Source organism: Homo sapiens, chromosome 2 (genome assembly GCF_000001405.40).
Source record: "Homo sapiens chromosome 2, GRCh38.p14 Primary Assembly".
Lineage (NCBI taxonomy): Eukaryota > Metazoa > Chordata > Mammalia > Primates > Hominidae > Homo > Homo sapiens.
Window position 1 is genome coordinate 38,889,875 of NC_000002.12, and position 23,100 is coordinate 38,912,974.

At 40.1% G+C, this 23,100-nt stretch overlaps 1 protein-coding gene across 2 annotated transcripts in view; it reads left to right on the forward strand.

Annotated features, from left to right (window-relative positions):
• The window catches only part of ARHGEF33 (Rho guanine nucleotide exchange factor 33), an 85,580-nt gene continuing 62,480 nt past the window's right edge, over positions 1-23,100 (forward strand). For both annotated transcript variants that reach the window (NM_001367623.3, NM_001145451.5), the window contains exons 1-2: positions 1-112; positions 5,903-5,975. The gene's annotated coding sequence lies outside the window, so the exon portion shown is untranslated. The remainder of the gene's footprint in view (positions 113-5,902; positions 5,976-23,100) is intronic.

Sequence of the window (23,100 nt, forward strand, 5' to 3'; positions counted from 1 at the left end):
GTTTCAGGGGAAGTCAAGCCTCTCTACTGCTTCTTTTTATAACCTTTAAGTTAATTCAGAACCCAGATAAGCCTTGATCTGAGGATGATATAACCACCGCAGGCAACATGGGGTAAGTATGCGCTTTTATATGCTTTAAGGGGCACTGAAAGGGGAAACAATTTTATAAGAGATGAAAACCCATCAATCCTTACCACGTGGTGTACTAATTTAAATCCAATATATGCTAACATTTATTTGAGGTAGGCATTCAAAGAAATAACTTTTATTTAAGAGTTATAACAATTTGTAAAACATTTATTTCCTTGCTTAATTTTTATATTATGTCTTAACTGCGCTTTGCAGGTTATCGATAAACTGGAGACTGAAGTTGTTCTGCATATTAATAAATATAGTTGAAGATGAGTTAAATTTTGAGAGCAGTCTTAAAGAAAGGATGCTAGACAGCGTAAATCTGACATGGACATGCCTCTTTGGGATTAAGAATAATTAAAGAATGAAAAAGATTAGGGATGGAGGGAGATTGGTTTATTCCTTTCTAACACAGAAAAAGAATAGGGGAATCTTCAGCATTCACTCCCCTATGTACAGAACAAAAAACATATCCTGATTGAAAATGTGTACTGATTAATTACATGGGGGCTTTATTGGTGAAACCTAATTCTAAACACTTCATGGGGCTTTGGTGTGTAATGAGAAGAACTGAGTTTCACTTAAACATTGTCTTAAGTGAGAATAGCGTTCTATTATAATTAGTATTGGAATTATGTGAGTTTTTATATGCTGAAATAGTATTCTGAATATGTAGAAATCTCTATATCACCCTTTTATATTTTTAATAGCCCCTTTTAATACAAAATCATATTGCTGTAAATGGAATAGCTATTTCATTGAAGGCTACTTCTGAAGGATTCAACATAATGATCAGAAATGTATCCTAGAGAAAAAAGTTTTTGATGCACATTTATTCTAAACATTTTTCACAAACTGAATTAATTAATGTCTACATTTTTCATAACCATGGGCTCTGGAAATGCAATCTAAACTCATTTGAAAACTCAGAGGCTTTTGAAACAAGATGACCATACTATTGGTTTTTTTTTTTTTCTTTTTTCTTTTCTTTTTTTAGACAAGGTCTCACTTTGTCACCTGGGCTCAAGCAATCCTCCCACCTCAGCCCCCACAGGTAACTGAGACCACAGGTGCACACCACCACACCCGGCTAATTTTTGTATTTTTTGTAGAGATGGGGTTTCGTCATGTTGCTCAGGTTGGTCTTGAACTCCTGATCTCAAGCAGTCCTCCCACTTCAGCCTCCCAAAGTGCTGGGATTACAGGTGTGAGCCACCATGCTCGGCCTTATTGTTAACTTTTTCTTAATTCCCTTTATTTACCTTCCCTTTTCTCTGTGTATAAGGGTGTACTTCAACATAGCAGGCCAGTAATAAACTAAGTAATGTAGATACAAAGATCAACTGATCTTCCTCCTTCCCTTCCTCTCTCCTTTCCTCCCTTCCTCTCTCCCTCTTCCTTCCTTTCTTTTTCTTTAATGACAGCAGTTCTTAACCTTTTCGGTGTCAAGAATTGCTTTTAGAATCTTCAGAAACCAGTCCACCATTTCTGCAAAAAAAAAAGTAAAATCACACAAAATTTTGCATACAATTTCAGAAGATTTACAGGTGACCTGAAACCCTATTCCTGGGACCACAGGTTAAGACCCTTAGACTTTGATTTTAGGACTGGAGTATGATTTGTTCAATATTTCTCTTTGTTTGGATTTTTATAAATGTAAGAATCTTTAAATTCATAATTCTTGCTAATCTTCTCAAGGACAGTGTGGAAGATTCCCCACCCGCCCCCCACACAATTTACATGAGTGTGAAACACAGTTTAACCAACATGCATCACATTACTGCTGCTGGGCCCCAAGGACTTGACTAATCACTTGTGCCTTTTGAGAGTGCCAGGAATCACCTTGGGAGTCATGGAAGGAAAAAAAACCCTCATTATGTTATTTGTAAAGCACTTTGAATGCCCCAAATAAGATGAACGAAACAAATCATAAATGCTAATATTACAGAGAGCACTCTTCTGATTGGTATGTTCATGATTATTTTGTTGTCTGTTCATGCCTTTACTGACAAAAAGACAGGGTAGTAAGTATTAACATCTGTTTGAGTCTTCCTAAAATAATCAGAAAAATAAAGAAAAAGTGGCAGCTAATCGGATTCTCAAATTTATCCATTTGAGGAAATCTCTAGAATTTATTTCCTGAGAATGAGGGAGTAGCTGTTTTGGATTTGTCTTTGGGGCCTACTTATCTCAAATGATTTGAGGATATAATTCCCTTATATGGGGCAATGCCAGCCCTTTCCACCTTTCCCCAGGCTATGCTGGCATGGTTTTAGCAAGCAATGAAGAAGCAAATACTGGAAAATTCTTATGCTCTCTAAAAAAATCTCCTCCTCGTAATTTTCACTGGGTTTTTTATGGAGTGTGTGAGTAGGTGGGGTGGGTAGAGATGATGCCTAAAGGTGGGTAAACAGATAACTGGGGAAAAGTAGAAAAACCTAACTGACATCTGCTAAGTACCATAACACCCGGGCAAAGGATGAACAATGGGAAAGAAAGGATGGTTGTATTTCTTTTTTGAGACATTTTAAAATGTGCTTTCCCCATCTCCTAGCAGAGTTAGTCAGTGCACCCCCAATTGACAAAAACAAAAGTTAAGGCTCTGCTAAAATTGTAGAACCAAGTTCATTATTATAGCATATTCAGCCTCCTTTTAGTCTCCTGGTTCAAATAAGTTAGAGTAATTTTAAAAATTATCTTATGACATATTTCCTCCTTCTGAATCTGAGAGTGACTATCCAACTCTTTTTCTTGGGTGAAGCATACATTTGGCTCATGGAGCAACCTTTGAAATGTCGCTTCTATCTGTGCCCTCCTTTCCTTTCTAAGAGTCACTTCCCTAATTCAGGTCATCATTATCTTTTACTTGAGTTATTAAAGGTGCCTGCTCACTGGCCTCTTTGCAGCTGCTCTTTCCTCTACAGTGCCACTAAGTCATCTTCTTACCAGAGATATGTGATCTTGTTATACCTCTGCTTAAACATTTTCAATGACTCATTCTCTCCACTGCAGAGCAAGCTCCAAAGAAGAGATTCAAGGCTCTCTATCTGCCCCCAATCTACCTGTCTAGCCTCACCTTCTACTCTACCTTCTTTGCTCCCTAGGGTTCCTAAATCCACCTAGGCCTTGTGCTTTGTTCCTCTGGTAATCCTTTTTTTTTTTTTTTTCTTTTTTTGAGACAAGGTCTCACCCTGTTGCCAGGGTGGAGTGCAGTGGCACAGTCTTGGCTCACTGCAACCTCTGCCTCCTGGGTTCAAGCAATTCTCCTGCCTCAGCCTCCTGAGTAGCTGGGATTACAGGCACCCGCCACCATGGGCTAATTTTTGTACTTTTAGTAGAGACAGAGTTTCACTATGTTGGCCAGGCTGATCTCGAACTCCTGAGCTCAAGCGATTTACCTGCCTCAGCCTCCCAAAATGCTGGAATTACAGGTGTGAACCACTGTGCCTGGCCCCTCTGGTGATCCCCTTTTGACCGTTTCTACATATCATGCAAAGCCTGGCTCAAATCCTATCTTCTTAATGAAGCTTTCTCTAATCCCCACAAGGGAATTCATCTTTTCTCTGAAAATTTTAGGCACTTTACACTTTTCTTTTTCATTTGTCACAATCCATTATATGTTACAGTTATTTATGTGTCTCATCTTCCCTTCTAGACTGGAAGCAGAAACAATGGCATCCTTTCATTTCTCCTAGCACCTGGTACAATGCCTTTTATGTGGTATATGCTTATTAAATACTTGTTGAATGCACGTGAACTCTGTTTAAACCCCTAAAAACTTAATTTTAGCCAAACTTTCTTTCTTTTTTTCCCAAGTGAGTTACCTCATTTTCCAGGTTTCTATCTGAAGAGCTCAAATGAGTGAGTAGTATCTAAAATGTAGGCAATTCAAGGGAGATAGGGCACAAACAAGGGCTGGAGTGAAGACTTCTAAAGTCTGAAGACTGAAGACTGAAGACTGTTGTTAATAAGCAGAAAGCACACATAGGCTCCAAGGAAATATAAGAAAACTTTCCAGAATTAAAAATCGTTCTTGCCAGGCTGGCTCACTCTTTTGATCCCAACACTTTAGGAGGCCGAGACACTGGGATCATTTCAGCCCAGGAATTCGAGACCAGCTTGGGCAACGTGGCAAAACCCCATCTCTACCAAAAACAAAAAACAAAAAACAAAAAAATTAGCCAGGCATGGTGGCATGCACCTGTAGTTCCAGCTACTCAGAGGCTGAGGCAGGAGGATTGCTAGAGCCCGGGAGGTCGAGGCTGCAGAGAGCCACAATCACACCACTGCACTCCAGCCTGGGCTTCAGAGAGAAAACCTGCCTTTAAAAAAAAAAAATGTTGCTTTTGGGCTCTGGATAGCTTCCTAGAACGCCAGCATATCAGTAAAGATTGAGTTAATCTGTATATGCTGGGGGAAAAAAAAAAAGAATAATAATAGAGGCTTAAACAAGCTAGAAGTGTATTTCTCTCTTACATTAAAAACAAACAAACAAACAAACAAGCCCACAAAGGTAGGCAGTCTAGTGCTGTTAGATGAGTTCCTTAGTGAGAGGCCCCCAGGTTCCTGTCATCTTGCTCTTCTGCCATCCTTAGTATATCACCTCTTGGTCCAAGACAGTTGCTAGGTCTCCACCTATCTCACTGATGTTCAGCCAGCAGGAACGAGGAATGGGGAAAAAAGGTGTGTTCTCTCTTTTAGGAGACTTCCCAGTGGTCACTCAGTGTTTCTACTTGTATTGCATGGGTAGAAATCTAGTCTCATGGTTACACTTAGCTGTGAGGAAGAGGGGAATACAGTCTTTTAACTGGGTTTCCAAAAAAAGAGGAGAATGAATACTGGGTGGCAACTAGCAGTGTCTGTCAGAGCCAGTATCAGGCCTTACATGGCCTCTTATATTCCTTTAGACAAAGTACAGCATTATGTACAAAAGTAATCTTTTAAGAAAAAAAAAATCAGTAAAATTAAAGGAAAAAAAGAGGAAGCCAAGCTGGGAATAAACAGATTCACCCAGAATAAAGGCCTCTTGATAAAGTGACAAAAGGTGACCAAGTAAGGCTTTGCCCCTCCCTAAACTCTATGTCCCAGTCTCCCTCCCTCCAGGCTTCGTGTCCCTGAATCTTCACATCCACACTGTGAGGCAAGTATTACTATTACTAAGCCAATCATACAGGTCAGGAAACCGAAGTCCAGGAAGATTCAGTGAATTGGCCAAACTGCCCGTACTGCAGCAAAAATTATATAAATCACAGAATGTTTTCTAAATAGATTTGTTCTTAATTTTGAGTATAGATCACTTCAATTGGCGCTTAAAGAAAAACCTATTACAAACACATTTCACTTGTCACTTGAAGTAGGTGATTTAATGTGGAATATTAGAAAAGACTCTAGATTTGTGGCTTTCAATATTTTACGGTCATATCAACTGCTTTGAACTCTTCTGATTCAGCAAAGCCCCCTAAGCCATGTTGGAGTTCTCGAGCTATGTTTTTAAATACATAGAAATTTATTTTTATTAGTCCCCCAAACATATGAATACTGAGGTGATTGTACTTGCTCAATACCAAGTGACTTAAAAATTAAAAGACTAAAAGAAACAAAGACTTTTACTTTTTTACTTTATATGTTTTTTACCTATTAGAAATCTTTAACAACAGTGAATTGCATATATAATAAGAACTTTTAATTACAAAATTATAGGAAAAAATGATGGTATAAAATGCAAGGTAGCTATCATTATCAATGGCGTTTTTTTTTTTTTTTTTTACAGAACTTCTAGAGAAAACAAGAAGAAGACTTCAAAAAACATGCTGTGATGTCTCCCAGTGGAGACAGGGCACGAGGTGAGTGAAAATTGCAAAGAACTGTTTTCTAATAAGAACACAGGCAAACTGAGAACTTAGCTTAAACCAGTGATCATTATTGAAGCAGAAGTATTATAAATTTCTTTGTAGAATTTTATAACCATTCTTGGTTTGATAACCATCAAATAAACAAATTGTGAGATTACTTAATTAGCTAGCAGTAAGGGCAAATAGCCACCTTCTAAACCAGCTATGTTACATCAGACTTGATTGCGTATATGAATGCTAACAGCATTGAGACAAGAATGAACTATGCTTTTTTGTTTGTTCGTTTTGTTTTGTTTTGTTTTGAGATAGAGTCTTGCTCTGTCGCCCAGTAGTGCAGTGGTGTGATCTTAGGTCACTGCAACCTCTGCCTTCCAGGTTAAAGCAATCCTCCTGCCTCAGCCTCCCGAGTAGCTGGGATTACAGGCTCACGCCACCATGCCCAGCTAATTTTTGTATTTTTATAGAGACAGGGTTTCACCATGTTGGCCAGGCTGGTCTTGAACTCCTGACTTCAAGTGATCTACCTGCCTTGGCCTCCGAAAGTGCTGGGATTACAGGTGTGAGCCACTGCGCTCAGCCATATTATGTTTTAATTAAGTTCTATTTTGGATGTCTTTGATGATTGTGAAAAATAGACAACATCTACTTTCCATTGAAGTTATGTATTCTGAGTTCCTACTTCATGCTGGGCTTTGTCACTTAATAACCATGTGGGCTAGGTAACTATTATGCCCACTTGACAGTTGAGGGAGCATAGGCTTAGGAAGATTAACTTTCCCAGGTCACAAAATGAAATAAGTAGCACAGCTGGGATTGGAAGCTAGATGTCTGACACACTTAAGAAAAAAGTCTCATAATTTAAAACATTATTTTTAAATTTCAAAACCCAAAAGTGCTCATTGTAAAATAAAATACAAACGTGATCATGACAGAAGAGTTTAAGTGAGATTTAAAAGCCCATCATCCTACCCCTAACCCCATTCCTCTTTCCAAGCATAACCACTGTTAGTAGTTTGGTATAAATCCTTCCATATCTTTCTTTTTGCCCGGCATACTTTTCTTTTTTTCTTTTTTTGAGACTGAGTCTCACTCTGTCACCCAGGCTGGAGTGCAGTGGCACGATCTTGGCTCACTGCAACCTCCGCCTCCTGGGTTCAAGTGATTCTTCTGCCTCAGCGTCCCGAGTAGCTGGGACTATAGGTGCACACCACCGCACCCAGCTAATTTTTGTACTTTCAGTAGAGATGGAGTTTCATCATATTGGTCAGGCTGGTCTCGAACTCCTGACCCAGTGGTCCGCCCGCCTCGGCCTCCAAAAGTGCTGGGATTACAGGCGTGAGCCACCACACCCAGCCAACCCAGTGTACTTTTCATAGTACACTCGGCAAGAGAAAGATATGGAAAGATTTTCACAGTATCACACTTGAACATATGAAAAATATCCATACTTTTCACAGTATCACACTTTCTATCCACTTAAATAAAAAAACAGAGGAAGTTGAATTTAGTATATATCTTTACTAGAATAAGCAGCTACCTCTAAACAATAACTGAAATGCTCATTCAGCTAATATTAGGCATCTATCTGTAGAAACTCAAAGAACTCTAGAACTCACTCTCTGTTTCCCAGGGACTCATAATCTAGTGCAGTGATTTCTAAGTTTATTTTTGAGAGAGTAATTATAGACTCCTTTGAGAAACTGATGTGAGCTCTGAACTCTTTCCCAGTAAGAAAATGAACCTATAAAATTTTGCCTATAATTTAGAGGATTTGTGGAAACCTTGGGAGTATGGATCCCTGAACTTGTAGAAGTGAGACTTTTAAATTTATAGTTTGATAGAAATACTATAATGGAAGTGTAGACAAGATGCTATACCACAGCACAGAAAAACAGGGCTGAACTCTCCTGGGTCATATCAAGAAAGCCAGGGAAGAATGACATTTGCACAAAATATTGAAGGACGCTAGGAGTTTGACAGCTAGCCTGGTGCAGGGGAAGGATGTCCACAGAGGGAACAGCCCCAGAGGCTAGAATGGATGGGGAACCATGACTGTCTTCGTGATAGAAGCCCAGTATGTGCATGGGAGTGACTAAAGATGAGTCTCCAGAGCTGGGCAGAAGCCAGAGCACAAAGGGGTTGGTCCGTTGGGTTAGGACATTTGAACTTCAGGAGTCACGGAACGATTTTGATCAAGACTTTCATTGGTAGGCAGAAAGTCTATATTAGTGCATGGCTAAATAAATCATCATGAGAATAGTAATTTGGATGATGGAATAAGGTATAAAAAGTAGACGAGACCACTTGATTCTGATTTTGGAGGGGATCATTGACTAAATGATATATTATTTAAAAAGATATATTGCTAAAATCAAATGGAATTGATTGGAAAGCCATTGCTTTTACAAAGGAAGTTGGGAGAATAAAGTTCTGAAACTGTATGAGAAAAAACGGGTGCGTGTCAAACACAAAATTTGGGCAGCACATTGACTCCTTGGCTGCAGTAAGTCCCATGCACAGGCAAGCTAGTATCAGTCACTCAAGATGGATCGCTCACTCCTGATTCAGCCACTGTCATGCCCTCTGCTGTCTTCCAGGCACTCCAGATGGGCCACGTGACTTCCCATTGACCCTTCCACCTACAACTAGCAGGAAAGAGAAAGAGGGTACAGTGGGTCAGGTTTTTAACATCTCTATATTAAGCACGTATTGCTTTTATAATTGAGATTTTAAAGCAATGTAGTATAAAGCCAGGCTTGCAGATAACATCATAGCTGATTCATTTCTATTTGGCTATACTTAACCTAATATACTTAAAAAAAGGAAAATATTAGTTTTACATCCTGCTTCTTGGCACTGGCTTCATAAAGTCTCAAGGATATTTCACTTGATAAATACATCTTATTTATTATTCATTTAAATTTTTTACTTATCAGATACTGTAAAGACTTGGAAGAGTAAACTGTGCATGTATTGCATATGCTATTTTATGTGTATAATGTATCTTATAAAACATTTTTGAAATACAAAGAATCATTTGGTCTTTGCCAAAGGGTAGTGCTCTGAAAGATTCTCAGACATGTTTAAATAGTGAGCTTTGTTAAGCCAAAATTTACAATTTGGGTGAAGTAGCATTGATTTTTCCAGTTTGCCTTTTCTAACTCATTAATTTTTTTTTTAAAGAGTGGTCTTCTTGCTATTAATACGAATAAATAAACTTCTGTGGTTTTTTTTAGGGAAAGAAATAATTGATTATAAACATCTCCTGAAATTAAATTCAACTCAAACTTGTGTTGAGTGCCCACTGTGAATAGTTCCCATGTCAGAGGAATGTGAATAAATGATTTAAATGTAGTTATCTTTAAAAGTCCAGCTAATTTTGCACTCTCCTCCATAAACTATCTGATCATTAAAAAATATTTGATAATTTTTTAAATTGCTGAAAATTAAGTAAAATTGCTAGTATAAACAGTAAAATTGCTAGTATAAAGAGTAAAATTGCTACTATAAGGAGATATGCCATGTTTATCCTGAGGCTTCAAGTCCAGCACTCTAGTATCATAAGATATTATGCTCAGAGAAATAAGCCAGCACCAAGCAGCAAATACCACATGAGCTCACTTATATGTGGAATCTAAATAGTCAAACTCATGGAAGTCAAGAGTAGAATGTTGGTTTCCAGAGGCTGGGGGTGGATGGGTGAGGGGGTGGAATGGAGACGCGTTGGTCAAAGGGTACACATTTCAGTAAGACAGGAGGAATACATTTTTGAGATCTATTGCATAACAGGCTGACTTTAGTTAATATATTGTATATTTCAAAATTGCTAAGGGAATAAAGTTGAAATGTTCTCACCACAACAATGACAAGTATATAAGGTGACAGGTAGGCTAATTAGCTTGATTTACTTATTCTATGTTGTATGCATATATCATAACATTGCACTACACTTTCTAAATATATACAATTATAATTTGTGAATTAAAAAAAGAAATTAAAAAAAGAATCATTACCTGCCAGGTACAATGGATATGAATATGAAATGGTCAGCTGGGCACGGTGGGTCATGACTGTAATCCTAGCACTTTGGAAGGCTGGTGGGGGAGGACTGCTTGAGGGCAAGGAGTTGAAGACCAGCCTGGGCAAGAAAGTGAGACCTCACTTCTACAAAAAAAAAATTAAAATTAGTCTGGTGTGGTGGCATGCACCTGTAGTCCCAGCTACTTGGGAGGCTGAGGTAGGAAGGTTGCTTGAGCCCTGGAGATCGAGGCTGCAGTGAGCTAGGATTATACCACCGCATTCGCTCCAGCTTGGGCAACAGAACAAGACCCCATCTCTAAAAATAAATAAGTAAATACATAGAGACTATTGCCTATAATTCCTGGTAGGAAGAAATACCAATAATGCAGTTTGAGAATGTAGCAGAAGAGGGATTGACTAATTATGACTTAGAGGATAGGGGCAAGCTTCATAGAGAAAGAGGTGCTTGAACTGAGCCCTGAAAATGAGAAGTATTTCATTAGATAAAGAAAGATATTTGAGGGATAGAAGATGGGAGGAACAAAGGCATAGAGGCATGAAAGTGTTTGGTGAAAGGCATGAACTGTGATCATCTGCACATGTATATCACATATGCTAACTACTATAAAGTTTTATTTGAATTACTCTGAAATAGAGGAACAAACCAAGTGAATTCAGCTAGTCCAGTCACTAGCTGTTACAAGTAGCAAAATCATATCAACCAATGTCTAATTGGCTACAGGGACACACCAGGAGCTCCTCCCAGACAACCTTTCCAGATTCTGATTAGAGGAGCAGTCCCATAGGATATGGGGAGGTGTGATTTGCAGAGCCGACGAGGTGGAGTTAGTGAGATGGGGTTTCTGAGATTTAAGATTAAGGTCCCACAGACAGAGCTGAATCAAGATACCTGAGGCAGATTAAAAGTCTGGCACTTGCTTGAATGGATTTTCTTTCAATATCTCACACTTGAATGAAGACAGGGTGATCTCTTCCTGGAGGAAGGGTGGAAGAGGAGGCTCCCGAGAGCAGTACTCAGCTTCCTGTCCAGGATCAATAACAGTTCAGCTCTGGCCTCACACTGGCTACACTGCTCAGCAAAATGAAAATCCCACAAGAAAACCAGACTCAGCCTTCTTTGAAGGCTGAAGGCTTTTTAGTGACCATGTGTTGCTACTCAAGCCTGCATTTAGGATACCCCACTCTCACCCCAAACACACACACACACCTGCCCTCAAGGGGCTTATCGGAGCATTTCTTTCTTTTTATTTATTTATTTATTTACTTATCTTACTTTTTGTGATCAGTAAAACTGCCAGAAAGAAGCATTCTTTCAATCACACAAGAGACTTTCCTTAAGAGAAATCCTGATAAATCTAGTTTTCTCCTTCTCACATTTCTGGGGATGTTTTAGCACCTCTGATAAATTGGTGCCAGGGCAGCTCCTTCATCCCGCTCTAACACCAACTTTAGGCCCAGAGTTGCCAAGCAGCTGGTTGCTGGTGGGCTCCCTTCCTACCCACTGCTGAGCTGAGGCTGTGCTGTGGATGGGAGCGCTCCATTCTGAGGGCTGCAGCAGTAACCAGCTCCCGGGTAGGGCTCACTTCTGAGCTCGGTACTTCAGACCTTGGAAGCTAACACATCCCTATCCTGGAAGACCTTTACATCTGGACTCCTCAGGAGAATTCTGCATTTGCTGCTTCTGTTATCTCTACTGATCTCAGGCTAGAGCTGAGCTTCCAGCTTTGTACTAGGACCAAAATGCAAAGCATAGCAATAATCACCACTGGAGTCTTACGGTCGTTCCAGAGACTAAGCCAGCAGACTCGGAGAGGGTAAATAATTTTCCCAAGGTCAATCAGCTATTTAAATCATGGACTTGGGATTTGAATTCACATCTTCCAGACTTCAAACTCAAACTCTTCATTTCTACTCCCTATTAACAACTAGCATGAGGCCGGGCACGGTGGCTCACGCCTGTAATCCCAGCACTTTGGGAGGCTGAGACGGGTGGATCACAAGGTCAGGAGATCGAGACCATCCTGGCTAACACAGTGAAACCCCATCTCTACTAAAAATACAAAAAATTAGCTGGGCGTGTTGGCGGGCGCCTGTAGTCCCAGCTACTCGGGAGGCTGAGGCAGGAGAATGGCGTGAACCCGGGAGGTGGAGCTTGCAGTGAGCCGAGATCGCGCCACTGCACTCCAGCTTGGGTGACAGAGCAGCCTGGGTGACAGAGCAAGACTCCATCTCAAGAAAAAAAAAAAAAAAAAAGAAAAACAACTAGCATGGTTCTTGGTGTTGCTTTCAACTGGCTGAAGTATTAGCTGAGAACAGATTAAAGTGTGTTTTTAAAAATCTCTCAAGATTCAAAGGAATAGAGTCATAATGTTGGCGACAGGCAGTGAGGTTGATATATTTGGGCAAGGCATCTGACCTGACAGCCATTTTATACCACTTACTTCTGAGGTCTGCCTCACTGAGATTAAAGACGTGTTATCCGATTCCATAATCACCATATGTATATAAGAAATTGGGACTCTGTAGTGAAGCATTTTATTTTTTCTGTCAAAACAGGAGCTTATGACTTAGCCAAGTCACTTATCCTCTCTGGACCTCATTTTCCGTATTTGTAAAGTGACAGGGCTTGGCTGGCTGATCTCTGTATAATCTTTCTGTTTAATTTTCTTTACCACTCTACACTGATTCCTTAGCTAAATATTGCAAGTAGTTATGGTGGGTGCAGTTTTGTTTCGTTTGGTCCTTCCGAACTATGAGATTGGTTTATTCATTTATTCGGCACCTATTTATTCAAGGCCTATTCTGTGCTGGACACTGGTTTAGGTCTTGGGGAATACAGAGTGAACAAAAATGTCCAAGTCCTCATGAGGGGGCACTGATAAGCCAAGATGGTCAATGAGCAAAGAAATATATAACATTATCATTTGATTGGTAAATGTTGTGGAGAAAAATAAAGCAGTGAAAGGGAGATAGGGTATAGAGGCCAGGACTCCTCTCTTATATGTATGGGTCAAAGAAGGCCTTTCTAATAAAGTGACATTCAAGCAGAGACCTTAGATCTTTTTTATCCTTGATGTAGGGTAGTAGGATATTGTAAATTTGGGAAGATTCTGAAGTTGCCAAGAGATAGGAACGAAATAGGCCTTGGTGGAGATAAATCATAGCTTGAGGTTCAACCTAGCTCTTCTTCCTCATATCCCTTATAGCCCAGGATTTCCACAAATGAGCTTCTCTGGGCTTCTGTGATTCCAAACAGTCTTTTAACATTTTAATGACTTCTCAAGTGTGTTGCATCTACTTATTTATTTAATTTTTACCAATGGACAATTAATAGTACATTAAAAAAAACTATGATAACTGAATTTACAGGATTTTAAGAAGCAGGGATCTGTTTTGCATGTGAATTTTACATCCAGATTTATATCACACGCTAAAGGAAGGGCCTAAGCTAAAAAATGTATAGGAAGAAGTTAAAGATGCAAGGACTAGGCTGGAAATACTATCTTCAAAGGGATGGATTTTTTTTTTTTTAGATTTATTCTGCATCTACTGGCTCATTCAAAGCCCATCACATAATTTGTTTTGGAGACAGGAGCATCCAGGAGCAGATGAATGGCAGACACTAGGGGACAAAGGCAAGCCCTCCAGGTGTTAAGAAGAAAGAAGTGGGCAAACACCAGGCAGTAAGGATTCTAAGGTGCATTCCAAAGTGGGTGAAGGAAGAAAAGGATTGAGTTTGCTTCTAAATTTTAAACACTAGAATCTAATATATATAACAAGGACTAAGCTATTGCAGATCATCCTATTTTATGACCCTATAACTCTGCAAATACCCTTTAGGGCCTAGATAGAACACTAAATCCTTTTGTTCTACTCACCCAGTCTGGATTTTCTTCTACCAATTATTTCTCCTTTAATCTCTACATCCATGATTTTTAGATGCGAGAACACCTTATCAATTAATTATCAATAATTCATTAATTGAGGGGGATTATTTGCTAGATAGTTACCACTGCCAGTGTTTAGGACAGTTTAGTGTCTTTGTCAACAAACCTTTATTGAACTTCTACCCTATGTTAGAATATATCCTATGTACCAGGGATAATAAGAGGTGGAAAAAAATAGCCTCTTTTCTCAAAGAAGTTTACAATTAACTTAGAAAATGAGATTATTTACATAAAATGAATAACAGTAGAAAAATTTGTTTTGATTCCTATTGAGTTTTACAGTTATTCCAAGAAAGGAAGGATAATTTCCCATTGGATTGAAGGGGGAAAGTTCTAGAGAGGGAATGGGCCTACATTAGACTTTGGAGAATGAGTAAGGATTTGTCCATTGGAGTGGGATGAGCAGGGCAGACCAGGCAGCAGGGAGAAGGAGAGACAAAGTAGAAATGCAAGTGGCAGAGAAGGCTGAGGCAGCTGGCAGGCCTCCTACACATCAGAAATGAGGCTGGAGGGGCAGGCCAGGGACATTGTGGAGGACTTTGAGATCTCGATTTTATTTTATGAAGATGAAAAAACAGGCCGGGTGCAGTGGCTCACTCCTGTAATCCCAGCACTTTGGGTGGCTGAGGCAGGCAGATCACCTGAGGTCAGGAGTTCGAGAACAGGCTGGGCAACATGGCAAAATCCCATCCCTACTAAAAATACAAAAATTAGCCAGGCGTAGTCGTGGGTGCCTGTAATCCCAGCTACTCCTGAAGCTGAGGCAGGGAGAACTGCTTGAACCTGGGAGGCAGAGGTGAGCAGTGAGCTGAGATTGCACCACTGCACTCCAGCCAGGGAGACGGAGCGAGACTCTGTATCAAAAAAAAAAAAAAAGGAAAAGAAGAAAAAGAAAAGAAAACGCCTATTGCAGTTTTTGAGCAGGAACAAAAGATCATGTAAGTGACATTTAAAGGAAAACAATCTACTGGCAGTGAAGAGGATGGATGAACTAACTAGGATGCTCCTAGAGACGTTTAGGCATGAAGCAGTCAGGGCTGATCCAAAGAGGCGACAATGAAAAGCAAAGGAGAAAATGAAAGACACCTTAGCAAGGAAGACTCGTAAGGATTTCACAGCTGGTGAATTTTAGGATGAGAGGCGATCATTCCGAGGTCTTGAGAGTGGGTCAGTGGTGGTGCTAGTGGCAGAGCTAGTGGAACCTGAAGGGGGAGCCTGGAAAGGTTAAAGATACCAATGTGATTTCAACAGACTGAGATTCAGGTGACCATGGAACAGCCCAGTGACATTATTCGTTGGAAAGAAATATAAGGGTGACCAAGGACATTCATTTAGCCGAAAAAAAAAAAGCCAGTTTTGTTTCCTTTCCTTAAAGACCTGAATACTAAAACATAGGTAAAACTGCATAGTGAAAATACTAGTGATTGAGAAATGATGAACTGTTTAGCATAATTTCAGTTTAGGGTAAGGTGATGATTTGTTTGGATTAAACAAAAGAACAGTTACAGAAGGCTTTGGGGGCTGGAGGGCTGGGGAAGGGAGGCCATTGGTTGTGATATCACCGTGTTACCACACTGCTGAGTGATATTTGGAATTACCCTGTTAAATTTTAGCCTCAGCATTTTAGAGCTACCAGGACTTTGAAACGCTCCTTATACTACAGATGAGGAAATGGAAGCCCAGAGAGAGTGCCTGGCTTTCCTAAGGCCCCACAGTAAGAAGTCAGTGTTAGATCTCAGTCTAGTATTCTTCTATTCCCAGACTGTATGGGCCAGCAGGTGCCCTGCCTTCCTGACTCTTTGAGGAACTCTTTTATTTAGTTCTACAGCAGGAAGCCTGATGAAAATTTTCATAGATTGCATTATCAGAAATCAAAATGGAAGACCCTCTGAAGAGCATTAAAGGCAGGAAATGGTGTGGGGCAGCGTGTGTGCCCTGTTAGATCAACTTGTCTTCAGGTGAAGGAATCATTTTCCAGTGGCATCAGAACAAGATGAAATGAGCATAATCTGCACAGGGACTGACTGCCTTACAGAATGCTTAAGCAGCCCTAGAATAGACTTCAAGTGAGGTTGTTCAGTGTCTTTCCTCACATACTTTAAAAAATGCTGAAGAAGCCAGGTGTGGTGGCTCATGCCTGTAATCCCAACACTTTGGGAGGACCAGGTGGCCAAATCACTTGTGCCCAGGAGTTCGAGATCAGGGCAACATGACCTGGGAAACATGGTGAAACTCCACGTCTACAAAAAAATACCTAGGAGGTGGAGCCAAGATTGTGCCAAGATTGAGCCAAGATTGTGCCACCGCACTCCAGCCTGGGTGACAGAGCAAGACTCTGTCTCAAAAAAAAAAAAAAAAAAGAAAAAAATTCTGAAGAACAGGATTGCTATCTAACTATCTGGGACAAAGGAGAAGTATGTAATTCAGTTTGGAGGTAGGGGGATGGAACACTTCTCTTCTTTTTTTATTAACTTATTCCTGTCCCAACTTGTTCCAAACAAGGAAATTGAAATAATGCAACAATAGATTGAGGAATCAAAAAATAGCTTCTTAGCAAAACCAGCCCCAGCATGTTCTGGTCTCCTTATGGAATGTCTCTAGCCCTTTTCTCATTGTTCCAAACTTTTCAGATGTGGTAAAAATGTACTAATTTGTGGGGTTCAGTATGCCTTAGCTCTAGGGAGGGCATGTATGAGGTAAGCTGGAATTATAAAAGAAATAATCAAACTAATGATGAATTTACACTTTTCATTGATCAACAAAAATGTTGACTCTTTCCCATATCTAGGCTTCTGCTGCTGGACTTTGTGATAATAATCGGTTATAAGATGAGACTCGGCTGGGTGCAGTGGCTCATGCCTGTAATAATCCCAGGATTTTGGGAGGCCAGGGCAGGAGGATCGCTCGAGCACAGGAGCTTGAGACCAGCCTGGGCAACATGGTGAAACCCTGTATCTACAAAAAAAAAAAAAAAAAAAAGGTCTGGGTCTGGTGGCAGCTACTCAGGCAGCTGAGGTGGGAAGATTGCTTGAGCCTGGGAGGTCAAGGCTGCAGTGAGCCATGATTGCACCACTGCCTGGGTGACAGAATGAGACCCCCTGTCTCAAAAAAAGATGATCCTTGGTTTAGGTGAGGAGAGTTGACAGATGACAATTGAGGAGAATGGCCAAAGCAGGCTTCATGAAGGGTATAAGACATGAGTTGCCCTTTGAGGGTTGAGCAAAACTTGGTTGACAGAGAGCAGAGGGTTGTAGGACCGAGATCCCCAGGTAGGAATGCCTAAGGCCTGTGAGTGGACTAGTTCTGTAGGGGAAAGTGCTGTGGTTTTAGTACCCAGGGACCATCGCTGACCCCTGTCAAGTATGCACGGGCTGTGGACCATTTTTCTAACTGAACTCATCCATTTTCAAGGTTTGACTATGATTTCCAACTTTTGAAGGCTTTGCTCACTGGGAGTCTTTGTTCACTGGGCAGTAGTGGGAAATTATAGTCATTCTGAAGATGGATTGTACTCTTTTTCTCCTTTCTAGCTGTTCTGAGAGCACCAAAGGCAGCTCCAAATTGGATGTCATTTCATCTGAACTATGAAAAAAATTCTCCCAGGAGGGGCAGCAGTAACCTGGTTTCCCCTCTCACCTAAATTAAGCTTTGGTGACTGATGATCCGTTTTACAATGTACTACTAACTCAGCCACCTGGTTCAGATCTTGGGAGTCCTGCCACTGCCTGTGATTTAGCAGAAGGAACATTTCCTGAGGACTAAAGTTTTTCCATGTTAATGTACCCCTCTGCAAATCAGGGCCATCTCTAGGACTGGAGGGAGTTGTCTCTGGAGCTCAGGGTTCTTTCCCTCCAGCGTTTCCCAGGAGAGCACTCTTGTCCTTCTTTGTCTTTCCTTCCTATCAATTGGGACTTACTTAGTGAAAGTATAGTGACAGTCACTTTATTGTCTTTTTAAGTAGATATTTACATTGTACTGGGGCTCTCTGCCTCTTGCACAGTGTCTCTGGGAGGATTTTTTTTTTTTTTTTTAGACAATGTCTCACTCTGTCATCCAGGCTGGAGTGCAGTGGCACTATCATGACTCACTGCAGCCTTGACCTCCTGGGCTCAAGTGATCCTCCCACCTCAGCCTCTCAACTTGCTGGGACTACAGGTGCATGCCAACATGCCTGGCTAATTGAAAAAAAAAAACTTTTTGTAAAGATAGGGTCTCACTATGTTGCCCAGATTGGTCTTGAACTCCTGGGCTCAAATGACTCTTTTGCCTCAGCCTCTCAAAGTGCTGAAAGTTATAGGCTTGAGCCACCGTGCCTGGCCTCCAGGAGGCTTTTAACTTCCACTCAGATGAATCCAGGGAGAGAATCTGTTTGAAAGATTGAGATTAAAGAGAGTCAAGTCAGGATAAGAAAAGAGATGAAGAATATCTTCCCTGACCAGACACAGAGGCCATGAGACATTCAGGCTCACGAAATCTGGTTCTGACACAGTTAAGTAGGTCAAGTATTAAAATGAGTCAGAAGAGCCCCTGGAAGTGACTTTCAGCCCTGATCTGAAACTTTTGATAAGTTTTTATGTCTTCAATGAGGCATTTTTAAACTTAAAATATCTCTGGCCAGTGGTTGGTTTTGTGTGTGTGACAGCATGCTGATGTTCTTTTTTTCTTGACTGATGTAGACACATATTAACTCTACCAATTTACTCTATCCTGACTGATCTTAGGTGAACAACAACAAAAATTAACATGCCAGTGGAGTGAGGATGGAAGGATCTTTGTTATTTCACTTCTGAGCCTTCTGTGCTCCTGAGCTATGGAATTACCTATTCTCTGTGCTTTGCTCCTGTTCTCACTGGCTCTGGGCACTTTGGTGTTGCTGGCCGTGATGAACATCACTACAGTTAGTTTTGGTGTGGGACCATTTACTAGGAGAGCCTGCTCTTTCTTGGTTTTTCAAGCCAGGGAGTGGGAACAAGGGGATATATTTCTGCCAGTGGAACTTTGCTTGTTAAAATAAAATAGGCCTTTTTTCCTAATAAAAATAATCTTCAGGCCAAACTCTCTATATTTACCACTAAGTCTTTATTGTTGATGTGAAGCAAGTTGTAGTAAAAAGCGTGTTTCACTGGTAGTCTGCTGCATGAGAATTCAGGTCACTTCCATAAATATTTGTTGAGAGTATGTTGAGAATGGTGCCAGGAGCTGGAGACAGAAAGAGGAATGAAACTCCGTGTATACCCCTTAGTTGCTCACAGTCTGGGGAGTGGACAGCCATGAAGGCAGTTAACTAAGGAGGGGTGATGGCCTTGTGACCTGGTTCAGTGGCAGGAGCCACCTTGTTTCTAGCAGCACCCATATTTGACAAAGGGTCACGTAAGGGGCTGACTTGAGCACCAAGGACCATTTTCAAAATAAGGCCACTTATTGTTTGAGATGTCTGGTGGCAGAGTCCTATTTTAATTCTTTTATTTATTTCATTAAAAAAAATTTTTTTTTTAGACCAGGTCTCACTCTGCCGCCCAGGCTGGAGTGCAGTGGCTCTATCATCGCTCACTGCAGCTTTGACTTCCTGGGCTCAGGTGATTCTCCCACCTCAGTCTTCCAAGTGGCTGGAATTACAGTAGTGCACCACCACGACTGGCTAATTTCTTTTTTTTTTTTTTTTTTGTATTTTTTGTAGAGACAGGGTTTTGCCATGTTGCCCAGGCTGGTCTCAAACTTCTGGGCTAAAGCTAACTGCCTTCCTTGGACTCCAAAAGTGCTGGGATTACAGGCATGAGTCACTGTGCCAGACCCCTATTTTAATTTTAATTCTTTAATTTATTACCTTTGCCACTTTAAATTGCTATGTATTCAAGGATGATTTTTTTTTTTTTTTTTTTGGTTGTGGGCATAGAAAGCTGCATTTTCATTGAGGTATCCTAGTTTTAAGCACTTGTGTATCTTCATATTGTGAGAATTGTCTTATCTCCTTACCATTTTGCTTCTAAGGGTCACACTGTACTCTTTGTTTTCTTGCGTTACATTGATTAATTAATTCTATTAATAGTTTTATAACCATTAATTTTTATTTTTTTGCTGATCATAGTGTTATATTTTTGTTTTCTGACATTTTATTTAGAATACGTATAGTTATTTTTTTATTTATTTATGTAGGCTATCCTAGAGTTGGTCTCAGAACCTCATAGAATAAATTTAGCTATTTACATGTATTCTATCTATAGCATAGACTAAATAACACAGACACTGTTATTTATAGAACCTTCCTGTGATATTATGCTGAATCATTTCCTATTGGGGAGTAGATATTTGACCTTCTCTTTTAATATTTTCTGCAGATAGTTGTTCTGGATAAAAAAATTTATACTGTTTTTAAAACAAATTTCAATAATGTATGTTTTCCTAGAAAATTATCTGTTTCATTTAGCTTTTAGAAATTATTGGCAGCCAAGTGTGGTGGCTCATGCCTGTAATCCTAGCACTTTGGGAGGCCAAGGCAGGTGGATTGCCTGAGCTCAGGAGTTCAAGACCAGCCTGGGCAACACGGTGAAACCCCGTCTCTACTAAAATACAAAAGAAATTAGCTGGGTGTGGCGGCTTGTGCCTGTAGTCCCAGCTACTCGGGAGGCTGAGGCAGAATTGCTTGAACCCGGGAGGCAGAGGTTGCAGTGAGCAGAGATCCTGCCACTGCACTCCAACCTGGGTGACACAGCAAGACTCCATCTCTACAAAAAAAGAAAAAAGCAAGAGAGAAAGAAATTATTGGCAACAAATATTGCATACTGAATTTTACAAATAATATTTCATATTCTCTGAATTGGTGGTTACATCCCTCTTTTTAGTCCTACTTTGTATTATTTCTCTTTCTCTCAATCTCTTTCTCTCATCAGACCTGCCAAAACTTTCTTCCTTGTATCAGTCCATTCAACCAGTTTACGCAGATGGCTATCAGAGCCCACACAGGAATTGATACCTTTTTTTAGTGACAATGGTACCTTAAAGTGGTACCTTAAATTACAGTACTTTGAAATACTGTGGCATGAAGCAGTTTATTTAAATTTAGAGAAACATAGAAAGACTACTGGTCTTACTTGAAGCGACTTCCAGTGTAACTTTGGGCAAATAATTTGTATGAGCTATGGCTTCCTTGGGTATAAAATGAATGGAACGTGTGTTTGGCCCACTGCACAGCATTGCCGTAGTGATCAAGTGAGATAACATACATGAGAGTGCTTTGAAAACTACGAAGCATGAACAAACAGGGTGTTACTGTCACAAAATAATGTTGCTTTTAGGCTCTATAGAAAAAAAAAGCAAATAGCCCTTTTCATAATGTTTATAGCATTTTTTCTACACCACAAAGATCATATAGACTCTCTTCTTGAAAATGTCTACAGGATTTGTCCTGATGAATTATTTTAGTTTCAGGGGAAAGTATTTCCTCATCACCCTCCCCCCAGCATAAAAAGTTCCCATTCTACTAAATTAGAAATGTGCACTAAAGACCCATTCAATAAAGGACACTGAAATGGAAATTAACTCAAGTCTGCTTTCAATTAATTTCAATTCCCCAAAGTGCCAAACTTTCCTTTTCTGTCACAGCAGTAATTGGAAAGTAATAGACAATCCTCAGTTTTTGTAGTCTTATGTGTGTATATGGGGAGGAGGGTACACGTTCTAGGTCAGTCTAGGGGAGGGTCAGGAGACTTTTCAGTATTCTTTAGGTTTCTGTTAACTTATTATTTAAAAAAATTTTTCTGAATTAATTTTACACAAATATGGCTATAACTTCTTATTGTTTCAACATTCTTATTTCTCTATATCAATAATTTTAGAACCTTTGTTTTTAAACAGCAGAAGCTGATCTTCAAAGGAAATCCTTCCCCGCCAGGCACTGTGGCTCACGCCTGTAATTCCAGCACTTTGAGAGGCTGAGGCAGGAGGATTGCTTGAGCCCAGGAGGTTGAGGCAGTGAGCCATGATCATGCCACTGTACTTTGGCCTGGGTAACAGAGTGAGACCCTGTCTCAAAAAATAAAAAAATAAAAAAAGGAAGTGCTTCCCCCAAAGCTGTAGTACGTGAATCAGACAAGAACAGAGAGGCTCTGGTTGAAGGGGGTAAAAAGGGGGACCCAGAACCCTACCAGCTTGGTGGCTTCCTCTCTCCACTCAAGACAGACTCAAGAAAGCCTGGGCTTCAAAAAATATAAACTGAAAACCATGGCTTTGTAACATGATCAGGCATGATATAGACACCAACAGGCTCACTTAACATTATTTTCCCCAGTGTCCGCCAAGGCCTGAATGGGTGTTTTTAGAGGTTAGCACTGCAACTGTAGAGACAGAAAGAAAGGAGGAAGGTCAGGGAGGAATAGGAGCCACATTAACTTGGTGAGAGGCATGTGGCAGCATCTGATGGTTATTTATTCAAAGGCAGGCAGTGATTCAAGGGCTATCAAGGGCACAGTGAAGAATTACTAGGCTCAGAGTGAGAGATTCCCAGTACAAAATGAAGAGCAGACTACAAGTGAGATCTCAAAGGGACTTTCATAATCATAGCAAGGCTTTTTCCAAAATAAGTCATATTACCTTTCTGTGTAATCCTGTTATTAAGCTCCCTTTTAAACTGTACCCTTTAATACATATTCATTATTACAGTCATTCTCGTCAACCTAGAAATTCTGTTCTGGAAACTTAGCTTAAGAAAAAATGTCCTAAATATGAAGAAAAAGGACTCTGTTCCTTTTTATATCCATTTATTATAGTAAAAAATGAAAATTACCCTAATAATTGGGGGAGGGAAAGAAAATGATGACATGTTTTCTCAAGCAACTATTTCTTAGTCAATAAATATAATTATTGTTGAAACTATTTGGAGAAAGCCAGGAGTAATAAATGAAAGAACCAGTTCTGAAATCATATGGACCTGCCCGAATTACAATTCTGGCTCTGTATGCCATGATCCTGGGCATATTATTACCTCATTTTCCCAAGCCTCAGTATTCTCATCTAGAAAATGGGGATAATGATACACCCTCAACAGAATCAATATGAGAACTTAATTAAATGAGAAAATATAAATAAAATATGAAGCATCATGTTTGGCATATAGCAGCTGTTCAAGAAAAGTT